At 39.4% G+C, this 24,360-nt stretch overlaps 1 protein-coding gene across 14 annotated transcripts in view; it reads right to left on the bottom strand.

Annotated features, from left to right (window-relative positions):
- The window catches only part of CTNNA2 (catenin alpha 2), a 1,463,404-nt gene that overhangs the window by 205,071 nt on the left and 1,233,973 nt on the right, over positions 1–24,360 (bottom strand). For all 14 annotated transcript variants that reach the window (NM_001399737.1, XM_024452714.2, XM_011532556.3 and 11 more), the window contains one exon: positions 24,109–24,261. In NM_001399737.1, the coding sequence (NP_001386666.1) occupies positions 24,109–24,261 (153 nt within the window). The remainder of the gene's footprint in view (positions 1–24,108; positions 24,262–24,360) is intronic.

Genomic DNA, 24,360 nt, shown 5'->3' with positions numbered 1-24,360 from the left:
CTTTTATACAGATGAGAAAAATTGATGAGAGGTATAGGATTCTCTCAAGGTTTCACTGCTAATTAACGACAGTGCCTTATTTTATAGCTCTGAGAGCCCAATTCCAGGGCATTCTACACTTAACCACACACTATACTACTCAACCGACTGTGACAAGACCACAGATCTCCTGATTCCAGTTAAGTGTTCTTTCTATTAGGCCATGAATGTTAGCTTTGTCTCCCCCAAGGAAATGTTAAATGGTAAAAGCAGAGGTCATCTCTTGTGCTTATTCTGTTTCCCCTTCAATGCTGAGCTCATAGACAGTGCTCAATAAATATTTGCGATTGACTGATAAGAGAAAAGAAATAAATAGCAGCCTGAAAAATGGATTTCCTTGCTGTGTCAGTTTGAATTAATACTATTATGGGTTGAAAATCACACCTTGTTCTCCATTCTAAAGCTGGCCTACCTAAGTGGGGTGAAGAAGAGCTGTTTTACTTCCATCATTGTCTTACAATCTTATAAAAGCAAGCGATGCTTCCCTGAGTCAATGCTAAAGAACAGCATTTGTGTTCACCCAGGCCCAAGGCACGATTAAGTGAACTTTGGTTCCACAGGAAGGCTGCCTTTATTCAGTTTGGTTGTTAATACCTCAGGCCTACAAATTCATCTTTCCACCAATTGCAGATCCTAAAGGAAGGTTTAAAAAGGTGAAGGAAAAAGCATGAGCTTCAGTTCCTTATTGCAGGCCCCTCTCACTGCTAGACTCTGGTGGGTATTTAGGAGATGCATGGGAGAAACAGAAAGGAAAATTCTTGACTCCAGTCAGAGCTAAGGTCCCTTTGTTTTCTGCTCTGAGCTGTCTGGAGATTAATTAATAAGAGAAAAGAAGACGAGGATGATGGCAACAATGATGGGAGCCTTAGTCTAGGGCTTTCTCTGAGGCTGCTCATTCTGGTGTTTTGTTTGGCAGGGGAAGTGGTTTAAATATTTAAATTCATTCAATTATTCTCTTGTCTTCCAGAAGAGGGGAAGGTATTAGTATCTCCATTTAACATACAGGAAACAGAGAGGGGTAAAAAAGACAGAGACGGTATATTAATGGCCTAAAATTCTATCACCCAGTGGATCATCCTCTTGCTCAAGCCATGGCATTGGGAAGGCATGGTAGCTCCTTGGAAACAGAAGTGGTGCGTGTATTAAGGAACAAAAGCAAGATGGAGCCAGGTTCCACTGAGGATGGGGGTCACTGCATGTGTGTTGAAAGGGCATGAGATGTGAGCACTTGCTAAGTGGCTCATGGCTGGTTTGGAGTAATCAGTTTTTAGACTATGGTCCTGCGTTCCTGGCAGTGAATTCTCTAGAAGGTCCAGATGGCTGGGCAATACAACTAAGAAGACACTGGTCTATTGCTCCTGCCTTCTGGGCAACCCTGGAGCAGAACACATCAATTAACTGGGAGCTTTGAGAATAGACTCATGAATGCCCACTGACCACATCACCATACTGCCTCAAAAGGGTGGCCTAAAGGGGAATCACTTAGAAAGGCTGAGCTTGAGATATGGGCTAATCAGTGGAGGAGAATCACAAGGATGGCCCATGTGAAGACCTGCTGATATAGAAAAATAAATGAGGAGTTGTCATATGTGTGAACCTGTTACAAGAATATACAAACTTATTTTGCAGGCTACTAGTCCTCTTAGAGCCAGTCCTCTGCAAGTGCAGAAAGATGCAGAAGAAGGATAGTGCCACCTGCCCATGGAGGACTGCCTGAAAGACTGGTGTCTCCCTTTTGTTCTGGCTTCTGCCTTTTGACCTAGGAAAATGGCTCACCTCGGCATGTCTTGCTCCTCAGTGCTACTGACTGAGTTCCCCACCTCTTGCCTCTTCTGAATCAGGCCTTCGAGAACATCATGACCTCTCCTATTTTACCTAATCTTTGGGCTCAACTTATTTCTTGTGTGACCTTTGACATCTCCTTGGCCTCCCCATTCTGTCTCCATTTCTTTACTAAACACATTGCTTGCCTAACATATTATATTTTCAGACCTTTCTACACTCATGAGCTCTTCTCAGAAGCTATAGAACCTAATATCTTGGAGTTGCAAAACAGAAGTCACGGAGATCAAAAAACAATGGTGTTGCCTGTGGTATAAGAATTATAATTTTTAAAATTTCCTCTGTGGAAGATAAGGCTGCTTTTATATATTTTTTTGCAACCCAACATGAGCTTCTGAGAAAAATGACTTCATTATAAAAGGATATTGAGTATACTGTCAACAAAACTAACAACAAAACTGTCATATGTTGACCTTAAACTGCATCTCTTCAACTTCAAATCGTTGCACAAATTGGTCCTGCCCTACTCCTTCCTGAAAAATGAAGAACTACACAAGAGGAATCAAATATCCAGTCTGAACAGCAAAAGGACACCTCATCAAATAGCAAAAAGCAACTTCACCAATAATTTTTTTTGAAGTCTCAGGGTAGACAGAAACCTCAAAATTTTACCCACTGCGTGAATCCCTACACAGTTCACAAATATCCTGGCTCTTTCTCCTTCCACCCACCATGTAGGATTTACTTCCACAAGTACTTGAACGTAATTCTATCCAGGTAAACTTTCTTTAGTCCATGGATGTTAGGGGAAGCATGTGCCATTTTCCAATGAAAGCTTTAGAAGCTAGTGCATGTTTGGCCACATTGTTTGCCTCAGCCACAAATACTGGCATATTCCAGATAGTGGCCGCTTCATCAGTCTTGCAGAGAGGATGGTGGAGAGAAACCGGTGCTTCCAAGTAACCCTGGGACTCTCAATGGAAAGTTATGAAGAAAAATTAAGTCTATGCTATCTTAAGCCATTGAGGGTCAGGGTTGTCTATTACAAGATTACTTAGTCTATTCTGCCCCACTTACTTGGAATAATTTCAGATCATGGGGTGGAATTTTATGTCACAGGATAAAGAATCCCCCTAAGAGATGTCAAATATGCTTTCATAGCATTTAGATCACAAATTCCCGTAATGCCTTTTTTTCACTGCTCAACTGAACACCTGATTCTCCCTATAAAGTTCTATCTTCCTTCTTTATCCTTCATCAACTTTATCCAGTAAGGAGCTGGATCTGCAATGATCTATAACAAAGCCTGTAAGGAACATTCTTAGGGACAAACAGAAGTCTAACTTCGTCTCAATGTGTGAGCAGTCCTATGCCCAAATATGCAGATGGGCATCTTAGAAGGCATACTGATTAGCCCATGATAGCCAAGAACTCAGCAGAAACACCATTTACTTATTTAATTCTAAGATTTTCTTAAAACTGTGGAACTCATTTGTCCTAAAAAGGTATTGCAATTTTCTGCTTACCAAGACTCAAGGTAGACTACTCCTAGTTCACATTGTCATTTTTTTTTAGAAGTCCAGGCCAATGTCCATTGTTCTTTCTAATCACCCCATGGTTGTTAAGATTTCTGAGCAAATACTTGCAGGTCTTTTGGGTGATTATGCTATAACCAATAAACAGGTGGCAGAGAGACAGTGAGCAAATTACTAAACACCAAAATCAATCCTTTCCAGACTTTGCTTAAATGCTACTTTCTCAATATAACCTCTTCTGACCACCCTACTTAAAACTGTGACCCTATATGTCAGCCTCCCTTACTGCTCTACTTTTCCTGTTTCCATAGCACTTGTCATCTTCTATTACATAAGTTATATATTTATTTTGTCTATTGTTTATTATCTGCCTTCTATAATTAGAATTAAGCTCCCCAAGAGTAGAGATCTCTGTTTTGTTCATTGACACATCTCACATATTCAGAATACTATTGGCACATAGTAGATGCTCAGTTAATTTGGACTCTAGACTCATGTCTGTTACCAACTGCTAATGTCACATTTCTTAGAAAAGAAACTTGCCTTAGCTTCCTCACTGAGGTGTTCCAAGGACCAAGTATATATTGAGGAAAGTGTTTTCAAATAATATAAAACCATACAATACAAACGTATAAAAATACCTTATAAGATAAGGCCTGGCGTGGTGGCTCATGCCTGTAATCCCAGCATTTCGGGAGGCCAAGGCAGGCAGATTCCCTGAGGCCAGGAATTCAAGACCAGCCCGGCCAACGTGGCAAAACCTCTTCTCTACTAAAAAAATACAAAAATTAGCCAGGTGTGGTGGTTTGCGCCTGTAATCCCAGCTACTCAGGAGGCTGAGACAGGAGAATTGCTTGAACCCAGGAGGCAGAGGTTGCAGTGAGCTGAGATCACGCCACTGCACTCCAGCCTGCAGCCTGGGAGACAGAGTGAGACTCTGTCTCAAAAACAAAACAAAACAAAAAAACCTTATAAACACTAGATGTTATTGTCAAGTGCAGCTATAACCAATGCTTCATTTATTCATATAACCGCCAACTTTTTTGCAAATATCCTAACATTAAAATGCAGCAGGGGAAGTGAGAAATAAATTGATGATGAATTTTTCCCGACGGTCTTTGTCGACAGGGTAAATTGCTGTATGTAATAGATGACCTGGCTGTAGTTGATGCAGCAGGCAAAAGACCCGAAAGTAGTCAAAAAATTATTTAGACTGGGGAAAGTCTAGCTCATAATTACGTGATATATTCAATATCATTATTGTCCTCACTTCCCACTCCTACTTTATTTACTCATATAATTTTCAGTGAATATTTTATTATCAAAAAGAGAAAGGGATTTTAAAAATAGCTATTCCCTCAGCAGCAGTGGCAACAGGCTGCTTCAGAGAATGGCAGCTGCTCAGGCTAGGAAATGAAATTTCTCAGACAGAGCATAAAAAGGAGTGGTCGATGTAATACTCATCCTTCATTCTCTATGAGCCCTTTTAGCAAACAAGGTCTCCTGTGATTTTTCACATCCTGGAGGGGAATGCTATAGACTTTGGTGAATAAATCACAGCAGAGGGAAAACCTTGCACAACTCTGCATCCACTACCTAAAGGAACAGATGGAATGAGGAGTATCACTAGTTGGATCTCGACTCACTGCAACAGCCTGGACCAGACTCTAGAGTTCAAGGAACTCCCTGATGAAGTCAGGTTTATTTTATGTAATACAATTGAAAAGTTTGAAGATATTTTTAAATAAGGTGAAAGAATCTGTATCAGAAACAAAATAATTAGTGATGACCTAGACCATCATAAAATTCATCTCTGGGGTGTGCAATAATTGGCATAAATAATGAGTAAAAATTAAATGTAAAGCCTTCAAAACAAATGAAAGTATTTCTGCTTCCCTTCTCTCAAAAACAAAACAAAACAAAACAAAAAAACTAACAAACAAACGGAAAAAAAAAAACATTTGGCATCGTTATGGGTGAAATTGTGTTCTCCCAGAATTCATATGTTGAAGCCCTAACTCCATAATTGTATTAGGAGATAGGGTCTTTAAACAGGTGATTAAGTTCAAAGGAGCTATGAGGATGGGCCCTAATCCAATCTGATTTGTGTCCTTATAAAAGAAAAACTGGACGCAGGAGGAGACTCTAGGGATGTGCGAGCATAGAGGAAAGACCATGCGAGGGCGCCGTGAGATGGCATCTGTAAGCCAAGAGAGGCCTCAGGAGAAACCAAACTTGCTGACACTTTGGTCTTGGATCCCTTGTTTCCAGAGCCATGAGAAAATCAACTTCTGTTGTTTAAGCCACTCAGTGTGTGTTGTTTTGTTTGTTTGTTTGTTTGTTTGAGACAGAGTTTTGCTCTTGTTGCCCAGTCTGGAGTGCAATGGCTGCAATGCAGCCCAGTCTCGGCTGACTGCAACTTCTGCCTCCCAGGTTCAAGAGATTCTCCTGCCTCAGCCTCCCAAGTAGCTGGGATTAAGGCACCCACCACTATGCCCAGCTAATTTTTGTATTTTTCGTAGAGAAGGGATTTTACCAAGTTGGTCAGGCTGGTCTCGAACTCCTGACCTCAGGTGATCTGCCTGTCTTGGCCTCCCAAAGTGCCGGGATTACAGGCGAAAGCCACTGCACCCGGTCAGTGTGTGGTATGTTTTAATGGCAGCTCTAGCAAATGAATACTGTACCTATACTTTAGAACTGTCCATATTTTACCAAATAGCTTTAGAACTAATGCCAGAAAGAACAATAACTGCCAACAAAATAAATAATTAGACTCGGTAAATAAGCATTGACTCAATAGTAATTATGCATTTCTGGATTGCCTTTGACAGGATCACTTGGAAGCTAATGGTATTTAGCAAGCTGACTACCATGACATATGACAATGTATCCATTTTTTGACATTAAAAAATAATAAAGTTGATCCAAAGTAATCACCTTTCACTTTTATCATGTTAAACCCTTGTTTTCCATAACCAAATTTTACTTAGAAATGTCTAGAATTCAAGCCTCCCCCATCCCTAAGGCCTGATCTTATAAACTGGAATTTCCTAAAGTATGTTTCTCAGTGACTAAGTACGTTGCGAATCTCCAAAAAGTGGCTGTCTTAGTGTGTTCAGGCAGCTATAGCAAAATATCTTAGCCTGGGTAATTTATCAACGACAGAAATTTATGGCTCACAGTTCCACAGGCTGCAAAGTCCAAGATCAAGGGACCAGCAGATTCAGTGCCCAGTGAGGGCCTTTTCCTCATAGATGGTGCCTTCTAAGTGTCCTCACAGAAGGTGCCTAAGAGACAAGGCAGCCTCTTTTATAAGGGCATTAATATCATTTATGAGGATGAAGCCCTCATTACCCAGTCACTTCCTAAAAGCCCCACCTCTTAATACTATCACTCTGGGAATTAGGTTTCAACATAAGAATTTTGAGGAGTGCTATTGTCTGACTGTTTTTCTCTCCAAAATTTACATATTGAAATCCAATCCTCAAAGTGGAGGTATTAAGAGGTGAGGTCTTTGGGAGGCGAGGAGGTCCTGAAGGTGGAGTCCTTGTGAATGGGATTGGTGCGCTTATAAAAGAGGACTGACAGAGCTTGTTTGCCTCTTCCATCATATGAGGAGACAGCAAGAAGCCTCCATCTTTGAAGCAGAGAGCAAGCCCTCACCAGACACTAAATCTGCTGGTGCCTCGATCTTGGACCTCCCAGCCTCTGGAACTGTGAGCAATAAGTTTCTTCTGTTTATAAATTGCCCAGTCTAAGGTATTTTGTTCCAGCACCATGAATAGACCAAAACAGAGGGTCACAAACATTGAGACCATAGCAGCGGCTGTAGCATGAGGAGATTCCCACATATATATGTATTTGAACCCATGCTTCCCCAAACCCCCGTTGTTGTTTCCCCCACCACCCCCCAGAGCATCTCATGAGAAGATATTCTGGAAAATGTTTCTTATGCCAGAGCTTCACAAACTTGAACATTACAGAAATGACCTGTGAATCCTGTTAAAATGCAGACCCAAGAGTCTATATTTCCAACAAGCTCCCAGGTAAGACCAATGCTGCCTGGGGGCACACATAGAACAATGAGACCTTTTGCTTTCTGTAACCAGCATGCTCATGCCCTGGGTAGCAGTGTCTGTCCCTTGATATACTTGAACACACTCATCTGCAAACACTGACCTGCCTTCAGAGGTTGGGAGCGAAGCCACTAATGTCGATGACCGTGACTCTAGGGATAAACATGATCTTCCTGCCTCTGTATATTGTCCTCACTTTGGATGGGGCTTATTTACTACAGCACATGGTTTCCAGTAACTGCTTAGAAATATCCTGCATTCTTACTATCTTTTCATTTAAAAAATTAAGCAGGAGATCACTAGGCAGAGAATTGGGAGAGAAATTCCTGGCTCAATGTATTGCAGGAGTTAAGGCTCAGAGGTAGCAAGTGTGCAATATGTCAGGGCACTATGGAAAGATGCTAACTGTATGAAAGATTTATTTTCCTTTCTTAAAAGGGATTAATGGAAAGTAAAACTAAAGGTAGATTGATCATAGGCCTATCCAGAGAATTCCAACAAGAATTTAACCCTCAGCTATTAAGCGCTTATGGAGTATGAACTATGTCCGCTCTGTGGTTGCATTTAATAACTGGTCCTCAACTTTATGGGTGATATGAATGGAATGGGCCTTGCCATCTTCCAGTGTCTTCTTTATACACATCTTCTCCAGCATATTCTCTACCTACCTGTTCCTGTCCTCTTTCATTAGAGGCTTATTTTAAGCTAGCTGCCTTAGTTAAAAAGAAATCAGTGGGAGAATCCTAATTAGGTATTACTATTTGAACAACAGTAAAATGTCCCCTTCTGGAAGTAGTTTCAGAATACTAGGGCATCTTTTTAAATAGTGAGATTATAAGCAGCAGTAAGATCACAGAGAAAAAAAAAATTGTGACAAGAGGTTTTTACCAAATTACTGTGGGGAGAGAAACTGTTGAGAATTTTGAGTAATGGTAATTTCAGAGATAAATTCAGTTAAGAAACAAACCTTCACCTATTTCTTGTGTTATCTGCTGACTGCATTCATATCAAATAATGTGTGTTCCAAATGAACTGATGTAGGTATAGGGCACTGAGTGTGCATATGCATATTTATTTAAAGATTATAGAGAAGTGATTCTCAACCAGGGATGATTTTGTCCCCCAGGAAATATCTGGATCATTTTTGGTTGTTGCAATTAGAGGGAAGTGCTCCTGGCTTCTAGTGGGTAGAGGCCAGAGATGCTACTAAACATCCTATAACACACAAGACAACCCTTCACAACAAAGAATTATCAGGACTAAAATGTCAGTAGTGAGGAGGTTGAGAAACCCTGATACACAATAATCTTATTTTACTCCTTAAGTACTTTGATTTCCATAATCTCTACCCAAGGAAAAAAAACTCATTCAAAGTAGAGGAAATGAGGCCGGGCCAGTTAGCATCTCTCCATAGTGCCCTGACATATTGCACACTTGCTACCTGTGAGCCTTAACTCCTGCAATACATTGAGCCAGGAATTTCTTTCCCAATTCTCTGCCTAGTGATCTCCTGCTTAATTTTTTAAATGAGTGTTAGTATTCTAACACTTTGGGAGGCTAAGGTGGGCAGATCACTTGACCCCAGGAGTTCCAGACCAGCCTAGGCATCATGGCAAAACCCTGTCTCTACAAAAAACACAACAAATTAGCCATGCAGTCCCAGCTACCCAGAAGGGATCACCTGAGCCCAGAAGGTCAATGCTGCAGTGAGCCATGATCATGCCACACCACTGTATGTTAGCCTGAGTGACAGGGTGAAACCCTGGCTCAAAAAAAAAAAAAAAAAAAAAAAGAGACACAGAAAGAAAGACAGACAACAATGACAACAATCGAAGTAGCGATCATCAGCTCCTTCGAAGTCATGATCATCAAGCATAGTTTTCCAGAATGAAAAGCAATTAAAAGTACACCACCAGAATAGCTACAAGTACATTAAGTTTCTGCAAAATTATACATGTTTTTGAACAAAACAGAACATTCACTGCTTTGAAAGTTGTTGTAGAAGCGATAAGTAGAAAATTATGAGCAACTACATGAAAATGAAAACCTCTCTTCATTTCTAAGACAACTTGTCATGGAAATTGTCATTTCACGCTAAAGTTCTCCAAGATAGGCTAAAGAAATATTAGCTTTGATGCTTTTCGTTGTGGATGTACACTTGGACTCTATCAGGCAAGAAAATCACTTGCACACATGTCATTAGTATTTTTTGACCGTGAGAAACTCTTCAGAATTCTGAGGCAGTCATTTATTAACAGTATTTGAGCAAAAGCCTTTCTTCCACAATTCTAGTTAAGCAATTGGGACAAAGGTTGAATTGTTTTCATCTTGAGAAAAGTAATTGTTACTCTCAAATTTCCAGGCAAAAATCAAACCAAGAGAATTCATTGGACATCAGCAGTTTTTCCCCTGAAAACTATCAGGAGAAATAATGGTCAATAATATAACCTATATTTGTAGCAAGGCACTAGAATCTACAAGCATATAGAATAACCGTTTGAAAGGTTTCTGGTGACAGGAGGACCATGGGGAGAAATAAGAAAGGTCAGACAGAGTCTGTGAAGTCAGTGAGAGAGGAAAATGGTCCTCAAGGCAAAATTCAAGGGCAGAAAAACAAGAGTTTAACTTATGAATTAGAGCTGCATCAGGAAGAGCTGTGAGCAGAGGCAACCAGGTTCCCTGCTTTCCCTTTCTTTTCCCACTTTCCTCCAACATATGAACTCTCCAGTCTTCCTTGTTCTGCTTGTCTGAACTTTTGACCCTGCGGCGACAGCCTGAATCTCTCCTCCTGCACTGTATCTAGCTGTATTCCCCGTGTCCTCTGCAAGAATGGGGCCCGCTTTAATTCCTTATTGCCCCATTATTTGTGTGTTTGGCTTTGGCTTTTTCAGCTGTGAACCTTACCTGGAGGGGTATGATTCACCCTCCACAGTGGTCACTGAGATGGCGGGGTTCCCACCTGAGCCCCTTCCCCAGACGGGGATGAGGCTAAGACGTTGGCCAGCCAGGATGGACACAAACACCTGGCTGGCATGGTGTTTACAGAATAGGCACAGGAAAAGTGTGCCAATTTGGATGTAAATTGCAAATTAGGTTTTTTTAAGCTCTACGTAACAGAGATACTTGAAGTCACCTACTTGAAAAGACTTGACTTTTTGAGATACTTGATTGTGGGGATGAAAACAGCCTCTTTAGCTGAGTGTTGTGTTGGGATAGGTCCCATCACAGGCTATTTTTAGTTTGCAAAACTATTGATCCATAAAGTACTCTACTGCCCCACTGCCGTTAACATTCTCCAAGTCTCCAGTCTCTGTGCAGAAACTGTCATGACATTTTACAGAAAAGCTGAGCACCTTTTCTCATACAGGCAGCCTGAAATCCATTTTTAAAGATACATTACAGGCTTTACCATCCAACTACCTTGTATTCTAAAATTAAGTTATAAACCACTCTTTTCAAAAAAAAAATTAAGTAATAAAATAATAAGAAAATGTGTGTGGGTAAGGGAAGGTGATAGAGCTCATGTGTCTTGGATTCCCCTCCTATCAACTTGGTAAGAGAATCATTTGGTTGGGATACTTTACAGATTTGGAAGGGCAGGTTTGTTCTTTTGATCTTCCAAGAAAAGGTTTAGAAAAGATAAATAATGAGGGTCCTATTGTTTTAAGAGAAAAAATAACAATCTGTCAGTCTAAGTAAGTAACTATATTTTGGTGGCCACCGGTATTATGTGAAAATATTGACTCAATTCCCAGGCACCTTGGATGTGTGATATTCACACTTTGTGGCAGCTCCAGAATGTCTAAATAGGAGCAGCCAAAGGCAGCAATCTGGTGGGAAGTGGTAGTGGGGAAATTTTCAAAAGGTGCATTTGTATTACAAACAGTATTTACTTAGATTTTTACATTAAGGTCAATTAAAACATCAATTTTTTCCCCAAAAGATGCTCATGTTGTATTTTACATATGATTAAAAAAATCTGTTCTTTAGATCAAAGAACATGTGTATGTGTCTAACACACATACTCGCACATACTGGAGTGGCTTTGAGGGACAGAGAATGTTTCTGGAGACTGGAAAAGGATGTGCTAATAAGCAAAACGATGTTATTCAAGGGCCTGGTGTACTGTAAGCAAAAAATACACTCTAGAATTTAAAGATTGAGTGTGAAAAAAGAATGTAAAATATCTAGTAATTTTTATATTAATTTCATGTTGAAGTAATATTTTGGTTATACTGTGTTAAATATATTATTAAAACTAAAAAATAAAAAGAATGCCACACCACCTGCCAACCCTGGGCACTGTGGCCACTCACAATTACTGGCTTTTACCAACAGGCACTAATGTGCCTACAGAAAAAGAAAAAGAAAAAAAAAACCAAAAAGTTGAAGCTTTTAATTTTTATAAACCGATGGTCTCAGTTAATAACAGAATGTCATTTAGCTAAGGTGTAGGTTTTGGTATGTGACAGGCACAGACCTATATTCCCTCTTTGGCTTCTACTTACATAATGACCAAGCTGATTAAGAGTTATTCAAACCTGTGTTTCAGACATCGGATCAGTCACAGACCTAAGTTATGGGAGTACAATAAGGAGTGATGGGTTCCATATTGCCGATCAGTTCACGATTTAGAACAGCTCAACTACCAGCTGTACTCCAAGCTTCAGTTCCTTGTTCACCTGAGTGTGAGGCCACCTGGGAAACCACTGTAATGACATGTTTTCCTTGTAACCCACAAATTCAAGATTCAACCACAAATGCACCCTAGAACATGTCTTCCCTTTTCCTAGAATCTGAAATTGGGAAAGGTCCTGAGAATTGTAAAATATCAAAGATAGGCGGCACCTAAATAGTGACAAGCCAGATGCAAAATCTGAGGGTCAGAGGATTAAAGTGATCTGTCCACACACACAGCAGTAGGGGTAAATCATTACACATCAAAGAAACTCCAGTCATCAGGTCCAAAGGACCCAATGTTGTCTGTTAAGGTAAGGGTTGAAAGTACATACCCACTGAGCCTTGGGCAGGCTTTGTGAAGTTGAACTCCACCTCCTTCTAAAACTAACGGAGTCAAAGAAACCTGAAAACTCATTTTTGGTTCTAAAAAGCAATGTCCCAATACACAATCCCTCTCCAACTATGGCTTCAGGCTGGCTAGAAGGCTTTGTGACATTAAAAATCCCTCAGAGTTAGAAGAAATTGAACTTCTAACATCGAAGAATTTTTTTCCTGGGCAATTAAAACACTTCTTGCTCTTACATACCACATCATTTTTACTGGGGGTGACTTTTTTATTTTTGCATTGAAGGTGTCTGATCTTAACAATATAAGGTTATAACTTTTCTGAGGTAGCTGCATAATATATACACACCTTTCAACAGTTGCAGAAAACACAAAATACAAGAGAAAACATACATATATATGTATATACATACATGCAGAGAATAGACACTCCCTACTTAGATGATGAAACACCAAAACTAATTAGTATAACAAAAGACCAAATATTTTCTACCTGTCTGCAGAAGCAACATGAAATGTAACCTTCTAATGTCTAATGTGGCAACACTACTATTAAAGTCCAGATGCCAGTTTCCTGGGAATCTTTCTAATCCATCACACCACTCTTCCTCAACTTTGGAGAGTATACTAAGCAATATTACCAGTATGCTGGCTTATGATTTTATTATGGTGAGGGTAGGCAGGTAAGGAATGTACAAGGTTAATATTTATAAATATGAATCTATACAGGTAGAGCAAGCATATGGAACAGGAGAAAGAACATGGACCCCAGGGAACTTGAATTCATTTGGTTCTGTCACTCATCCATCATCTAGTGACTTTGGTCAGGCTACTTTTAGTTTCCTTGAGCCTCAGGTTTCTCATCTGCAAAATTATGATATTAACTATTAAAGCACTTCCTTAGAGGATTAGAAGAGATAATGTGTGAACATTACCATGGTATCTAGCATAGGGAACAAGCTAAGTGTTGATTCTCTTTCTCCTCCTTAGGTAGGGACAACATAGTTAATTGCCCTCTATTTTCTGGATATTTCTTTGTAAGGGTACTTAATTCACCTATTGGAATATAATTTGGAGGTTTACATACGGTATGGTTAGTTTTTATCTAAATGTCAGTGAAAAATTACAGAGACAAAATTGAGGGCTGGGTATAAAGATTTTGTATTTTATTTAGATATTTGAGTCCATTGGAAGGTTTTCATGGAAACTAATAGTTGGTTTCTCTTACATATGAAAAAAATTGATTTCATAATCATGGCTCTACGCTTTATAGTTTGCCTATGGTATAAATATTGAAATGTTACCTGGTAGTATTTACATTATGTGCATAGTTAATTCAAGCACTGCAACAGACCTTTGACATAAAAATACTAAATGTCCTTGGACTCCACCAACTTGCAAGCAAGCTTGAAAGTCTGCGGCATTTAGTAATTTGAACAGATATGAACGATGCAAACTGTGCAGGTGAAGACTCGTGAAGCTGGTGGGTGAGCTTAGTTCACTGCCCAATATCAGTACCTGAAAGCAGTTTGCATGATCTGTTCCACTAGTATATAAGAATTCTTCTGCAGTAATATGTATTACTTTCAGGGTATGTGCAGTAAAATAAAGCTGTTCTCTAAAATGTGATTTCAGAGATATGAAATTTAATGCCTATACAATTACGCCAACATCAGCAGCTAACATTTTTAAACAATTACTTTGGGGACAGAAACTGTACTAAATAATTACATGAAGGATCAGACTTTAGGCTGTACAGATACCTTGAATAAGAGCCTGGGGGCAGTGTGGCACAGTGGCTAAGAATGTGGTCTCTGGAGTCTGGGATACTCGGGCTTATGCATGGATTCTGCCTCTTTCTAGCTATGTGACATTGGGTCAATTATTAAACTTCTTAAAACCTCAGGTTTCTCATCTGTAATTTGAAGTAAAAAATAATGGCTACTTCATAAGGTTGTCAGAAGCATTAAATAAGGTTATAAATAGTTAATTTTAAAACCCTAGCTTTATATCTAAATAGTTATTAAGAGTCTAAGGGGGGGCCTTGAACTTTTCTGCAATGCTTTATTGTGTATTATAGAAAACCTTACAAAATATGGTAGGGTTTAAGAATTGGGGAATTCTTAAATTACGGAGGAGAATAGTACTGGAATATATACTTCTTAAATGACAAAATTTACTGTAAGTTTAACATAAGTGAGCTGAACAAAATAGCTCTTATAGAGTATTATTATTTACAGAATTGCTATGGCTCAATTGATTAGAGAAACTTCAGTAACTCAGTTGTAGTTCAAATATTATTAGCTGTATTGAGGAAGGCAGCAAGGAGAAAAAGGGGTATGAAAATATTGGGTTTGTCTTAAAAAAATGCATGGAGGTCCAATTCCATCAATGTAGTTTTTTGTTGTTGTTTTGTTTTGTTTTTGAGATAGCGTCTCACTCTGTCACCCAGGCTGAAGTGCAGTGGCATGATCATCATCAATATAGTTGTTGATGCAATTTTTCTAGATTTTCTTTTTAGTTCATGGTTTGAAACAAGGCCCTGGAACATACAAAACTCTTACATTTATTTAAACCCAGGACATTTGTGTAGGGGTTTTAGGACCACATCTATCAGACAACTGAAGCCAGAGCCAACTGAGAAACAGTCTGGGATTGTAGGCTATGTTTTATTAAAGTTTCAACTGATTATGTCACTGCAGCTTATCAAAATATGGATTCATCCCAGACTCTTCTCTGTCTCACACATCCCAACATCCAATATCTCAGCTCAACCTTCAAAATACAGGAAAATTGAGCCGCATCTTCCCACTGACCTTGCCTCTCTTCTAGTCATAGTACTAATCACTTGCTGGACTATTGCAATATCATTGGACATATTCTTCTTTCTTTGCTTTTTATTACTCTATATTTTCCATCAAGCAGCACTGTGAACTTTTAAAAATGGAAGTCAGATTATGTCATGCCTTTGTTCAAAACCTTCCAATGAACTCAATATCTGAGTAAACTACAAAATCTTTATACCCAGCTCTCAATTTAATCTCTGTAATTTTTCCTCTCATTCTCGGCTCCAGTCACACTGGTCTCTTTGTTTTCTACCAAACTTGCAAAGCACACTGCTGCCCTGGGGTCTTTGGACTTGTTTTTTTCACAGTCTGGAATGTTCTTCCACTCCCTTCACATCTCCATTTAATAGTCATCTTAGAAGGGAAGACTTTCCCGACCTCACATGCCCTCCTCCTTCATTCTTTATCATCCTACTCTGTTTAATTTTGTGCTACAGCACATAGTTCTGCCTTACATAGTATACACTTACCTCTCCCTTTCTTATCTTTCCCAAGAGAATGCATGTCCCATGAGAGCAGGAACTTCCTCTGATTTGTTCATGGTTATGTTGCCAGCAACTAGACCAGCATCAGCACATGGGCCTCTCAGGAAATATTGCTGAATGCAGCATTGTGCAAGGGGAAGGATTAATTGAGAAGAGCAATTTACTCAAGGGTGAAAGGAAGGCACTCTGGTGCTGAACTGATGGATGATCACATTAGTGATTCTGAGTATTAGGGTTTGACTCTGACTTCCAAGCCCTGAATTTCCAGTAGATACAGCTTCTCATCCTTCATGGGGCACTGCTATCAGGAGTAACTAAGTCAAGAAGATGAAGCAAAGAATTGAGATTCCCTTGTCTAACTCATCATTGCTATGGCTTCAGTGCTGTACTTTACTTTGTCAGATAGAGCCAGCTCCCTCTCTCACATCCACTAGCTGAGGATGAGAACCCAAAGCATGCTTGTCAGGCAGAGGACAGGAAAGGAATGATAGTGGAGTTAGGGACACAACTTTGGGAGCCTCTTGAGAGAGTTAATTCAACTCAGGGAGCCTCGTAGCAAACAGCAGGTGTTTTCTACTTGGTACAAATAGTATTTCTTCACATTAGTTCTTCACAGATTTGAAATTTCTTCTTGGTAATAAATTAGACAATTAAAAAAGTACAATGCCTCTTTACTGCTGATCTCCAAGGTGACCTTTAGGATCCTACAACTGTGCTATAGAAATATATTCCCTCAGGGGCCCAAAAGCTGGCAACATCACTGGCTACATTTATTATTTTATTCTCTTTTAAGCACCATCTCTTTCTTGAATACCTGCTATATGCTAGGTGCTTGGCTAGGAGCTGGGTTGTAGTTAGGATTCAATTAGACCTGATCTCTTTCCTAAAGGAATTGGTAAACTAAGCAGAAGAACTAGCATACAGTTGTAGAGCTGAATGGTTACAATCCTAAAGTAAAAGGGATGTCATGAAGTGAAAGACGTAAGGAACTGATCCCACCTGGGGCCATGATATTCAGGCTGAAAGCTGAACAATGCCTAGAAACTAGAGGAAAGGATAGAGTGGGGAATGCATCAGGAAACAAACAACACAAGCATAGGTCTAGGATGGGAGGGAGTATGACACATTTAACAAGCAAAAGATGGCAAGTGTGGCTGATTCCTTGTTGGGGGTGGTGGAGGAAGGAGGGGACAGGACGGTGAGCCTGAAGACTGAAGAGAAGGTCAAATCCTGAAAGCCACGTAAGCTTCTTTACAATGTTGGTCTTTAACCTGATAAGAAGAGGAAGTCTCTGAATGGCCTCAGGCAGGGAAATTATATGATTTTATTTGCATTATTAGAAATTCACTCTGACTGCTCTGTGCAGAAGGGACTGTAGAGGGCCAGGCAGATAAAAGAGGCCTGTGGGGAGGCCACTGCAGTTGCCTGCACAATAGAATGTGTGGCTTGCACTCAGGTGTGCATGGTAGAGATGGGAGGAGAAGGGAAAGCAGGCAGGTTGACTGAGCAGGCAAGCAATGGAAGGAATAAAACAAGTTCAGAGGCCCAAAATAGCTATGTTGATCTTGCATCTCATTTTCAAGATTAGCTTTTATTTTCATTGTGGCGATGCATATTTTGTACCCAAATTACACCCACTCCACCCCAGCCCTGACCGAACTGCTTTGCTGCTGAGTTGCCATAATTTGTATTCCATTTCTCCAGAAGGCTTAGACGTGAGGTACCACAGGTGTTTCTGGATCAGCTCGGCATACCCTCAGGGTCGGCCCCACCCTGAAGTCCTTAGCTAATCTTTAGAAGGGCATGATTCTGAAGATGAGAGGAAATTACTAATAATTATTTTATCTAGTTCTACAGATGATACTTCCTATAGTGACTTTACATCATAGTTGACCTGTTAAATTCTAATCAACACACCCCAGTGGAAGTTTCCCCAAATTTTATTAAATGTTTTAAATATTGTGGAGAAAACAACAACAACAACAACAAAAGCTTCTCAAAATTTCACTTGTTAAAGCAATTATGAGAACCCATATTATTTTTCCTATGAACATTTTACTAATATTTTATATATACTAAAACTGTCCTTGCTGAGGACTTTTCTAAGGTTCTCAAGTTCTGTAGGTTGTAAAAGGGCCCAATCACTTCATAGACTCTATTTTTATGAATGTCAAACTTGGAAAAAATGGCACACAAATACAAGGGAAAAAAAACCCATAAAATAGATAGCAAACTGAATATACTATCATTAAACTCAAGAAAAATGTTGAAGGACTAAAACCATCATCACTGATTCATAGATTGATTATTTCACATATTTATGAATGATTCTTATGTGATTAATGGAAATGTAGAGATTCATCAGAGGTTTTCAAACAGAGATCAAAGGCGCCCTGGGAAGGATTGGAAGGTTGTGCTTAATGGGGAGAAGAGGCATTAAGTGAGGGAATTGTAGGAAGTAGACCTCCAAGCTTGTTATTTCAGTTCAGTCAGAACTGTTTTTATTGATTTATTCATTTATTTTTTTGAGGTATGTAAGTCGCAAAATTTCCACTGGATAAAAAGATGTCTGACTAAAAATACTAACAACAAAAACAACAACAACAAAACACCATAAACTTATCTAAATGAGCCCTCTCAGGAATTTGCGCTTCTTGACATGACGGAGTAGCCTACAAGAGACCCACTTGCCTGCTGAGAACCACTAGAAATACACAATAAAAGCAATTTGCTTGAAAGCAAAGGAGAGCTGCCAAAGATGTCAAAACTTAAACTACATCAAAAAGAGAGGCTCATTGAGGGGAGCCTAACCTTCCGCCTGTCACTCCAGTCACCCTCGCCGGGATTTGCTAATTCTTAGTGTTGAAGGAGAATCTGAGAAGTCAGAAAGAAGGTCGCTGCTGAGAGGAAGAGAATTCCTTGGAGTTTTCAGCAATCTCATAGGGCTGAGGAGGCAGAAAATGGAGCTGAGCACAGCCCCGCTGAGGCAGCCAACTTGGACTTAAGATCCCATAGAGAAGAGAGGTTCAAAGAAGCGAGCTTGGAGCTTCATCCCCAGTTTTTCCCCAAGGCGTTTGACAGTCAGTTAAGTTGCAAATAGCAACAGGCAAGAAGCAAATTGAGACCATCCAAAAAGCAAGGCAAAGCAAACTCAGTCTCGTGGTGTTAAAAAACAAAAATTGGGGTTTGTGATTTCACAAATAAGGTGACACATCTGATCCTCAGTTGGCCACCCTGGAAGATTATTCTTCAGGACTGTGGTGAAAGAAGGGTAAGCTAAACTTTAGAAGTGCTACAACCTAGGTTCAAGTCACTTTGATCTTTGATTGTAATGAAATGGTCTGCCTCTCTGCTGCCCAACAGAAAATAGGGTGAATCCTCTCTGGAAGGAGAACACATTATCCAGACCCTCTATATCTGTCCACACACATGTTTGCCATTCAATCCAATATCACCCAGCATATCAAAAAACACAATCACAAGAAAAATTAATAAAAACAGACAAGCAATAAAGTCTGTCTCCATTTTCAAAGCCTCATAGAGTCCCATAATAGTTCACTTAAACATGTCTAAATTCAATAATATGAAACATGGCACATTCCAGTCATCAGTCAGACAATAAGGGTGAACTGTAATGAACAGTGCTAGTCTATTTTGAATGTTTGCTGGGCCGGGCACGGTGGCTCACGCCTGTAATCCCAGCACTTTGGGAGGCCAAGGAGGGCAGATCACAAAGTCAGGAGTTTGAGACCAGCCTGGCCAACATAGTGAAACCCCGTCTCTACTAAAAATACAAAAATTAGCTGGGCCTGCTGGCGGGTGCCTGTAATCCAAGCTACTTGGGAGGCTGAGGCAGGAGAATTGCTGGAACCCGGGAGGTGGAGGTTGCAGTGAGCAGAGATTGCGCCACTGCACTCCAGCCCAGGCGACAGTGCGAGACTCCATCTCAAAAAAAAAAAGAACGTTTGCTGACAGTTTTTAAGTCAGTCCTACCCTTCCCCCATTTCCCTTTTGTCCCCAAAATGGGCAAACTGATAAGAGGGGCCACCTTTTTATTGCTATTGGGAAATACAAACCACTCAAATCCTGGCTGTCACATAGAAATCCTGATCCCAGCCACATGCCCTAACATGATAAAAACTAAACCCACTTATTCTTCTCTTTGTTTGAACCATTATGAACTGGCATGGTTGCCTGCTCTGCTGTCCCTGAAGTCCCATTACATGAGCAATAAACCTGTCTGGACCCTCTTGGTGGGTGTGTTGCATCATCAATATTAACATCCCAGTGGATTTTGGATGTGTTGGGGGCTGCCATCTGTGGAGCCGCCCCAAAACAAAAACAAAATTGATCCAAACATTGGAGTTCTTTGACTTAGGCTTTTGAAATAACTGTGATTAATATTTTTTTAAAGGAGATGACCTGATAATAAATTTTACTAGAGAATTGGAGTCCCTTTAAAAAAGAATCAACTAGAAATTTAAAAAAAAATTGAACTCAATATATAAGTTTTGAGTATATTGGACCCACATGGATAAGTGAACTTAAAATTAGAGCAGTAGAAAATAACCAGACTTAAGCATAGATTAGAGGGAAATTTATATCCTTAAATGAGTACAGCACTAAAATAAGAAAGGCAAGAAATTAATGACATGATTATCCATTCCAATAAGTTAGAAAAGAAGAAGTAAGTTTTACTGGAAGAAAGCAGGAAAAAACCAAAAAGAACTATAAAGAGAGCAGAGATAAATAAAATAGAATACAAACAAATCTATAAAGCTGAAAGCTTATTTTTAAAATTGATAAACTATCTGCAAAACTAATCAAGGAAAAAAGAGAGCATACTAATTAGCTAAATGAGGAGTGGGGAAAAAAGAAACCGTACTGCAGATCCTTATACATCTAACAAAAAATACAAATGTATTATGGACAATTTTATGCCAGTAAATTAGAAAATTAAATGACAAATTCCTAGAAGGCAAATTAACAAAACTGACCTTAAAAGAAATTTAAAAAAATTAAATAGTCATATGATTTTAAACCTTTCCACACTCACATTGTTTTATCAGTGAATTCTACCAAACATTTAAAAAATAAATGAGGCTCATCTTATACATTCACTTCCAAAAAATAGAAGGAAGAAAAAATTTTCAATTCATTTTTTAAGGGAAAGCATAACTTTGATATCAATTCCTCTGAAAGAGAATAAAGGAGACGAGAAAATCATCTCAACATCTGCAGAGAAAGCATTTGATACAATTCTATAGTTATTCATAGTTTTTTAAAAGTATTTTGGCAAATGGGTACTAGAACTAGCTTGACCTAATTAAAGTATCTGAAAGAAACATAGAGCAAGCAATATAATTAATGGGAAAGAACTGAAATTTCCCCACTGAGATCCAGAAATCACAAAAATATTTATCACCACAATATTGTACTGTAGGTCCTAGCTAGTACTATAATGCAAGGAAAAAAAAAAAAACAAACTATAAGTATTGGGAAAGAAGAAATACACTTATATGGTTTGGCTGTGTTCCTATTCAATCTCACCTTGAGTCGTAATAATCTTCATGTGTCAAGGGTGGTGCCAGGTGGAGATAACTGAATCGTGGAGGTGGTTTTCCCCATACTGTTCTCCTGGTAGTGAATAAGTCTCATGAGATCTGATGGTTTTATAAAGGGGACTTCCCCTGTACAAGTTCTCTTGCCTGCTGCCATGTAAGATGTGTCTTTCCTCTTCCTTTGCCTTCCGCCACGATTGTGAGGCCTCCCCACATATGTGTAACTGTGAGTCAATTAAACTTCTTTCATTTATAAATTACCCAGTCTTGCATATGATATGTCTTTATTAGCAGCATGAGAACAGACTAATACAACAGTCATAATTTGCAGGCACATGACTATGTACATAGAAAATCCAAAAGGAAATTATCAAAATTTTAGAATTAGTAACTGAATTTATCAAGTTCAATGGATATAAAATCAATATACAAACCGACTTTTTCATATTACAGACACAGAAACTAAGAAAGGTGCCCATATCCACACACTTTTCAAAACTAGAAAAAGGCTAACACTCAGCTCGGTGGTTCAAGTTTGGGTTTTTTTTTTTTTTTTTTGTATATATGCAAACTTGTAGATTTCAGTTACTCCCTAGTCACACAGAGGCCAGACCACACACTAGCCCCTGTATCTCCTAGGCATCAAGACATTAAAATGCTGCTGGCCACAGTGACCATCCATGGGAAATGAAGGGAATACCTGATGGAGGCAAAGTGCAGTTTTCTGAAATGTGGAGCTGCAAGTAATCTAAGCTTTCAGCTTGTCACAAGTTGAGGATCAAGAATCACATGTAGTGAACAGATTTACCTACAATGGAACCTAAAGACAGAATAAGGGGAGAGGGTGGATGTGTCCAGCGCCTGTCACAGGAGAAAGGAGAATGAGTGGAAAAAGCTGGGTCTTTGGCCCCAGTCTCATATTTACACAAGATGTTAAGTTTGAAATTCAAATATGTCCTGCAAATGAAGTAAAGGCACTAATAGGACTGAAAGTAGATGTTTATCACACAACTTGAAATCCATGTCCCATTCTTCATCCAGAGTGTCTACAACACACCATCAATGAATATTTTCAGTAAACTCTGCAGTTATCTTGTAAATGTTGTAATTATACAGATGGGATGGTATATTTATATGCTAACATTATTTTATTACATGTGAATATTTAAAGCTTTGTAGCACCCATCAGCATTATTTTTTTTTCCTCCTCCTCTTTCTTCCCTTCCTTCTGTACCCATATCCTCCTCCTTCTCCGCCTTCCCCTTCTCAAAATACGAAAGTGATCAGAGCTTCCAAGGTCAACCTTGGAAAGACTCTGGATCCCTAAATAGCTAAGTGAACTCTCCGAGCATGTAGGTGGAATGTGAAGGGTGATAGAAGGCTTGCCTGATATGAGAGAACAGAGCCAGAAAAACTGCTTTGATATTGTATTACCCTAGTTTTAGCTCTAGGCTGGTATTTTCTCAAGACATTGGGGTTACAGCAGGAAGTTCAAAGCTTCCATTATTGTGGCCAAGGCTTTTGCACATAGAACCTGCTGACTGCTGTCATGGATGATGGCTCAGCCTGTATCCTAGAGAAGCAGAGGCTTGATGTAGGACTTCCTGTTGGCTGGGTGACTTCAGCCCGAGGCACCTGCAGTGCTGGATTAACCAAGGCGCAAACTAAGCAGGTGCTTAGCATGCAACTAAATCGAACACCACCCCCATCACCCACTCCAGGAAAAGCAGAGAGGATTTCACATTTAAAGAACTTTCTGAGGATTTTGATTTTTCCATCCAAATGAAAAAAAAAAGAACTTATTTTCCTTTCAGCTTGCATTTAAGTTTTCTGTCATTTTAAGTGATTTTATTTTATTATGAATTAAAGTGGGAATGCATCACAGTGGTGGTGGTGGTGGTGGTAGGATTAAGTGCTCAGAGCCTGTAAAAGTTTAACCTGGCCCTAATAACCATTCCCTAAATTTTCCAGGATCCATCCTCATCCCTCCTGGGCTCTTGTTCTCTAGCACACATATTTTGTTGTGCAACAACTCTATTTTCTATTGTATTTAGCCCCACATCACTAATCCTACCTTTGCCAGGCTGTTCGTTTTCAGCTCCTAAATTTAGGCAGCCTAGTTGTCATTTACTTTGTACAATATTTTTTTTCAATATTACCCCATAAAATTTTGCATTTATAAAACAACTCCCACAGATTCCTCTAACACATAAAATATACTTACAATGCTTAACTTACCCTAGTACTGCCCCAAGATCTTCCACCAAAAGTTCAAACATCTCTTTGGGGAAGGTGGGTTTTTTTTTTTTTTTTTTTTTTTTTTTTTCACAAGTTCCCAGTGTGGACAGCATCTAGGCACCACTGGGTGGAGTGGACAGGGGTTTGAGGTGGGAAAAAAGGGAGAAGTGTCCTAGGCCTCCATTCAGAAATTTTAATTTACTCCCTCAAATCAAAACTGGTATTCAGCACTCCAGAGTTCCCTTCCACTTCTTTTGTTTCAGCTCCTGCTTGTTGTTCAGGAAAAATGGCAGATATGTTTCAGAGCATGCTTAGAATTGTGAGACAGATAAAAGAAAGATGATTCGTAGCTTGATTCCTTCGAAAGGGGGTACAGTAATCAGAAAGTAAAGGAAAGAATGATTCCAGGACTTTATTTCTCCAAAAATACAATAGAATATCTCTCTAGTGAAATTCTAAGAGCCATATGCAGAGATTGAACCCATCGGTAAACTCTAGTCTTCAGGCCCCTCCACACTTACCTCTACCAGTTTGTTGGCATGCTCACGGAAAACTTGGGCATATTCTTTCACTTCCTTTTCATTTCCGCTCTTTGCAGCCTCAATGAGAACTAGCAAAGGAACATTGGTTTCCAGGAAAGAGTCAGATATGTGATCCATCACTGCTTTCCGAAGCTACAGTTGAAACAAAAACAAAAAATGACATACAATTAAGAAATAGTATAATTGCCCATTTTTTTTCTAAACTGTTTTTGAGCTCTCATTACCCATGGA

This window comes from Homo sapiens, chromosome 2, assembly GCF_000001405.40.
Source record: "Homo sapiens chromosome 2, GRCh38.p14 Primary Assembly".
Lineage (NCBI taxonomy): Eukaryota > Metazoa > Chordata > Mammalia > Primates > Hominidae > Homo > Homo sapiens.
This window is presented reverse-complemented; position numbering and strand designations above follow the sequence as displayed.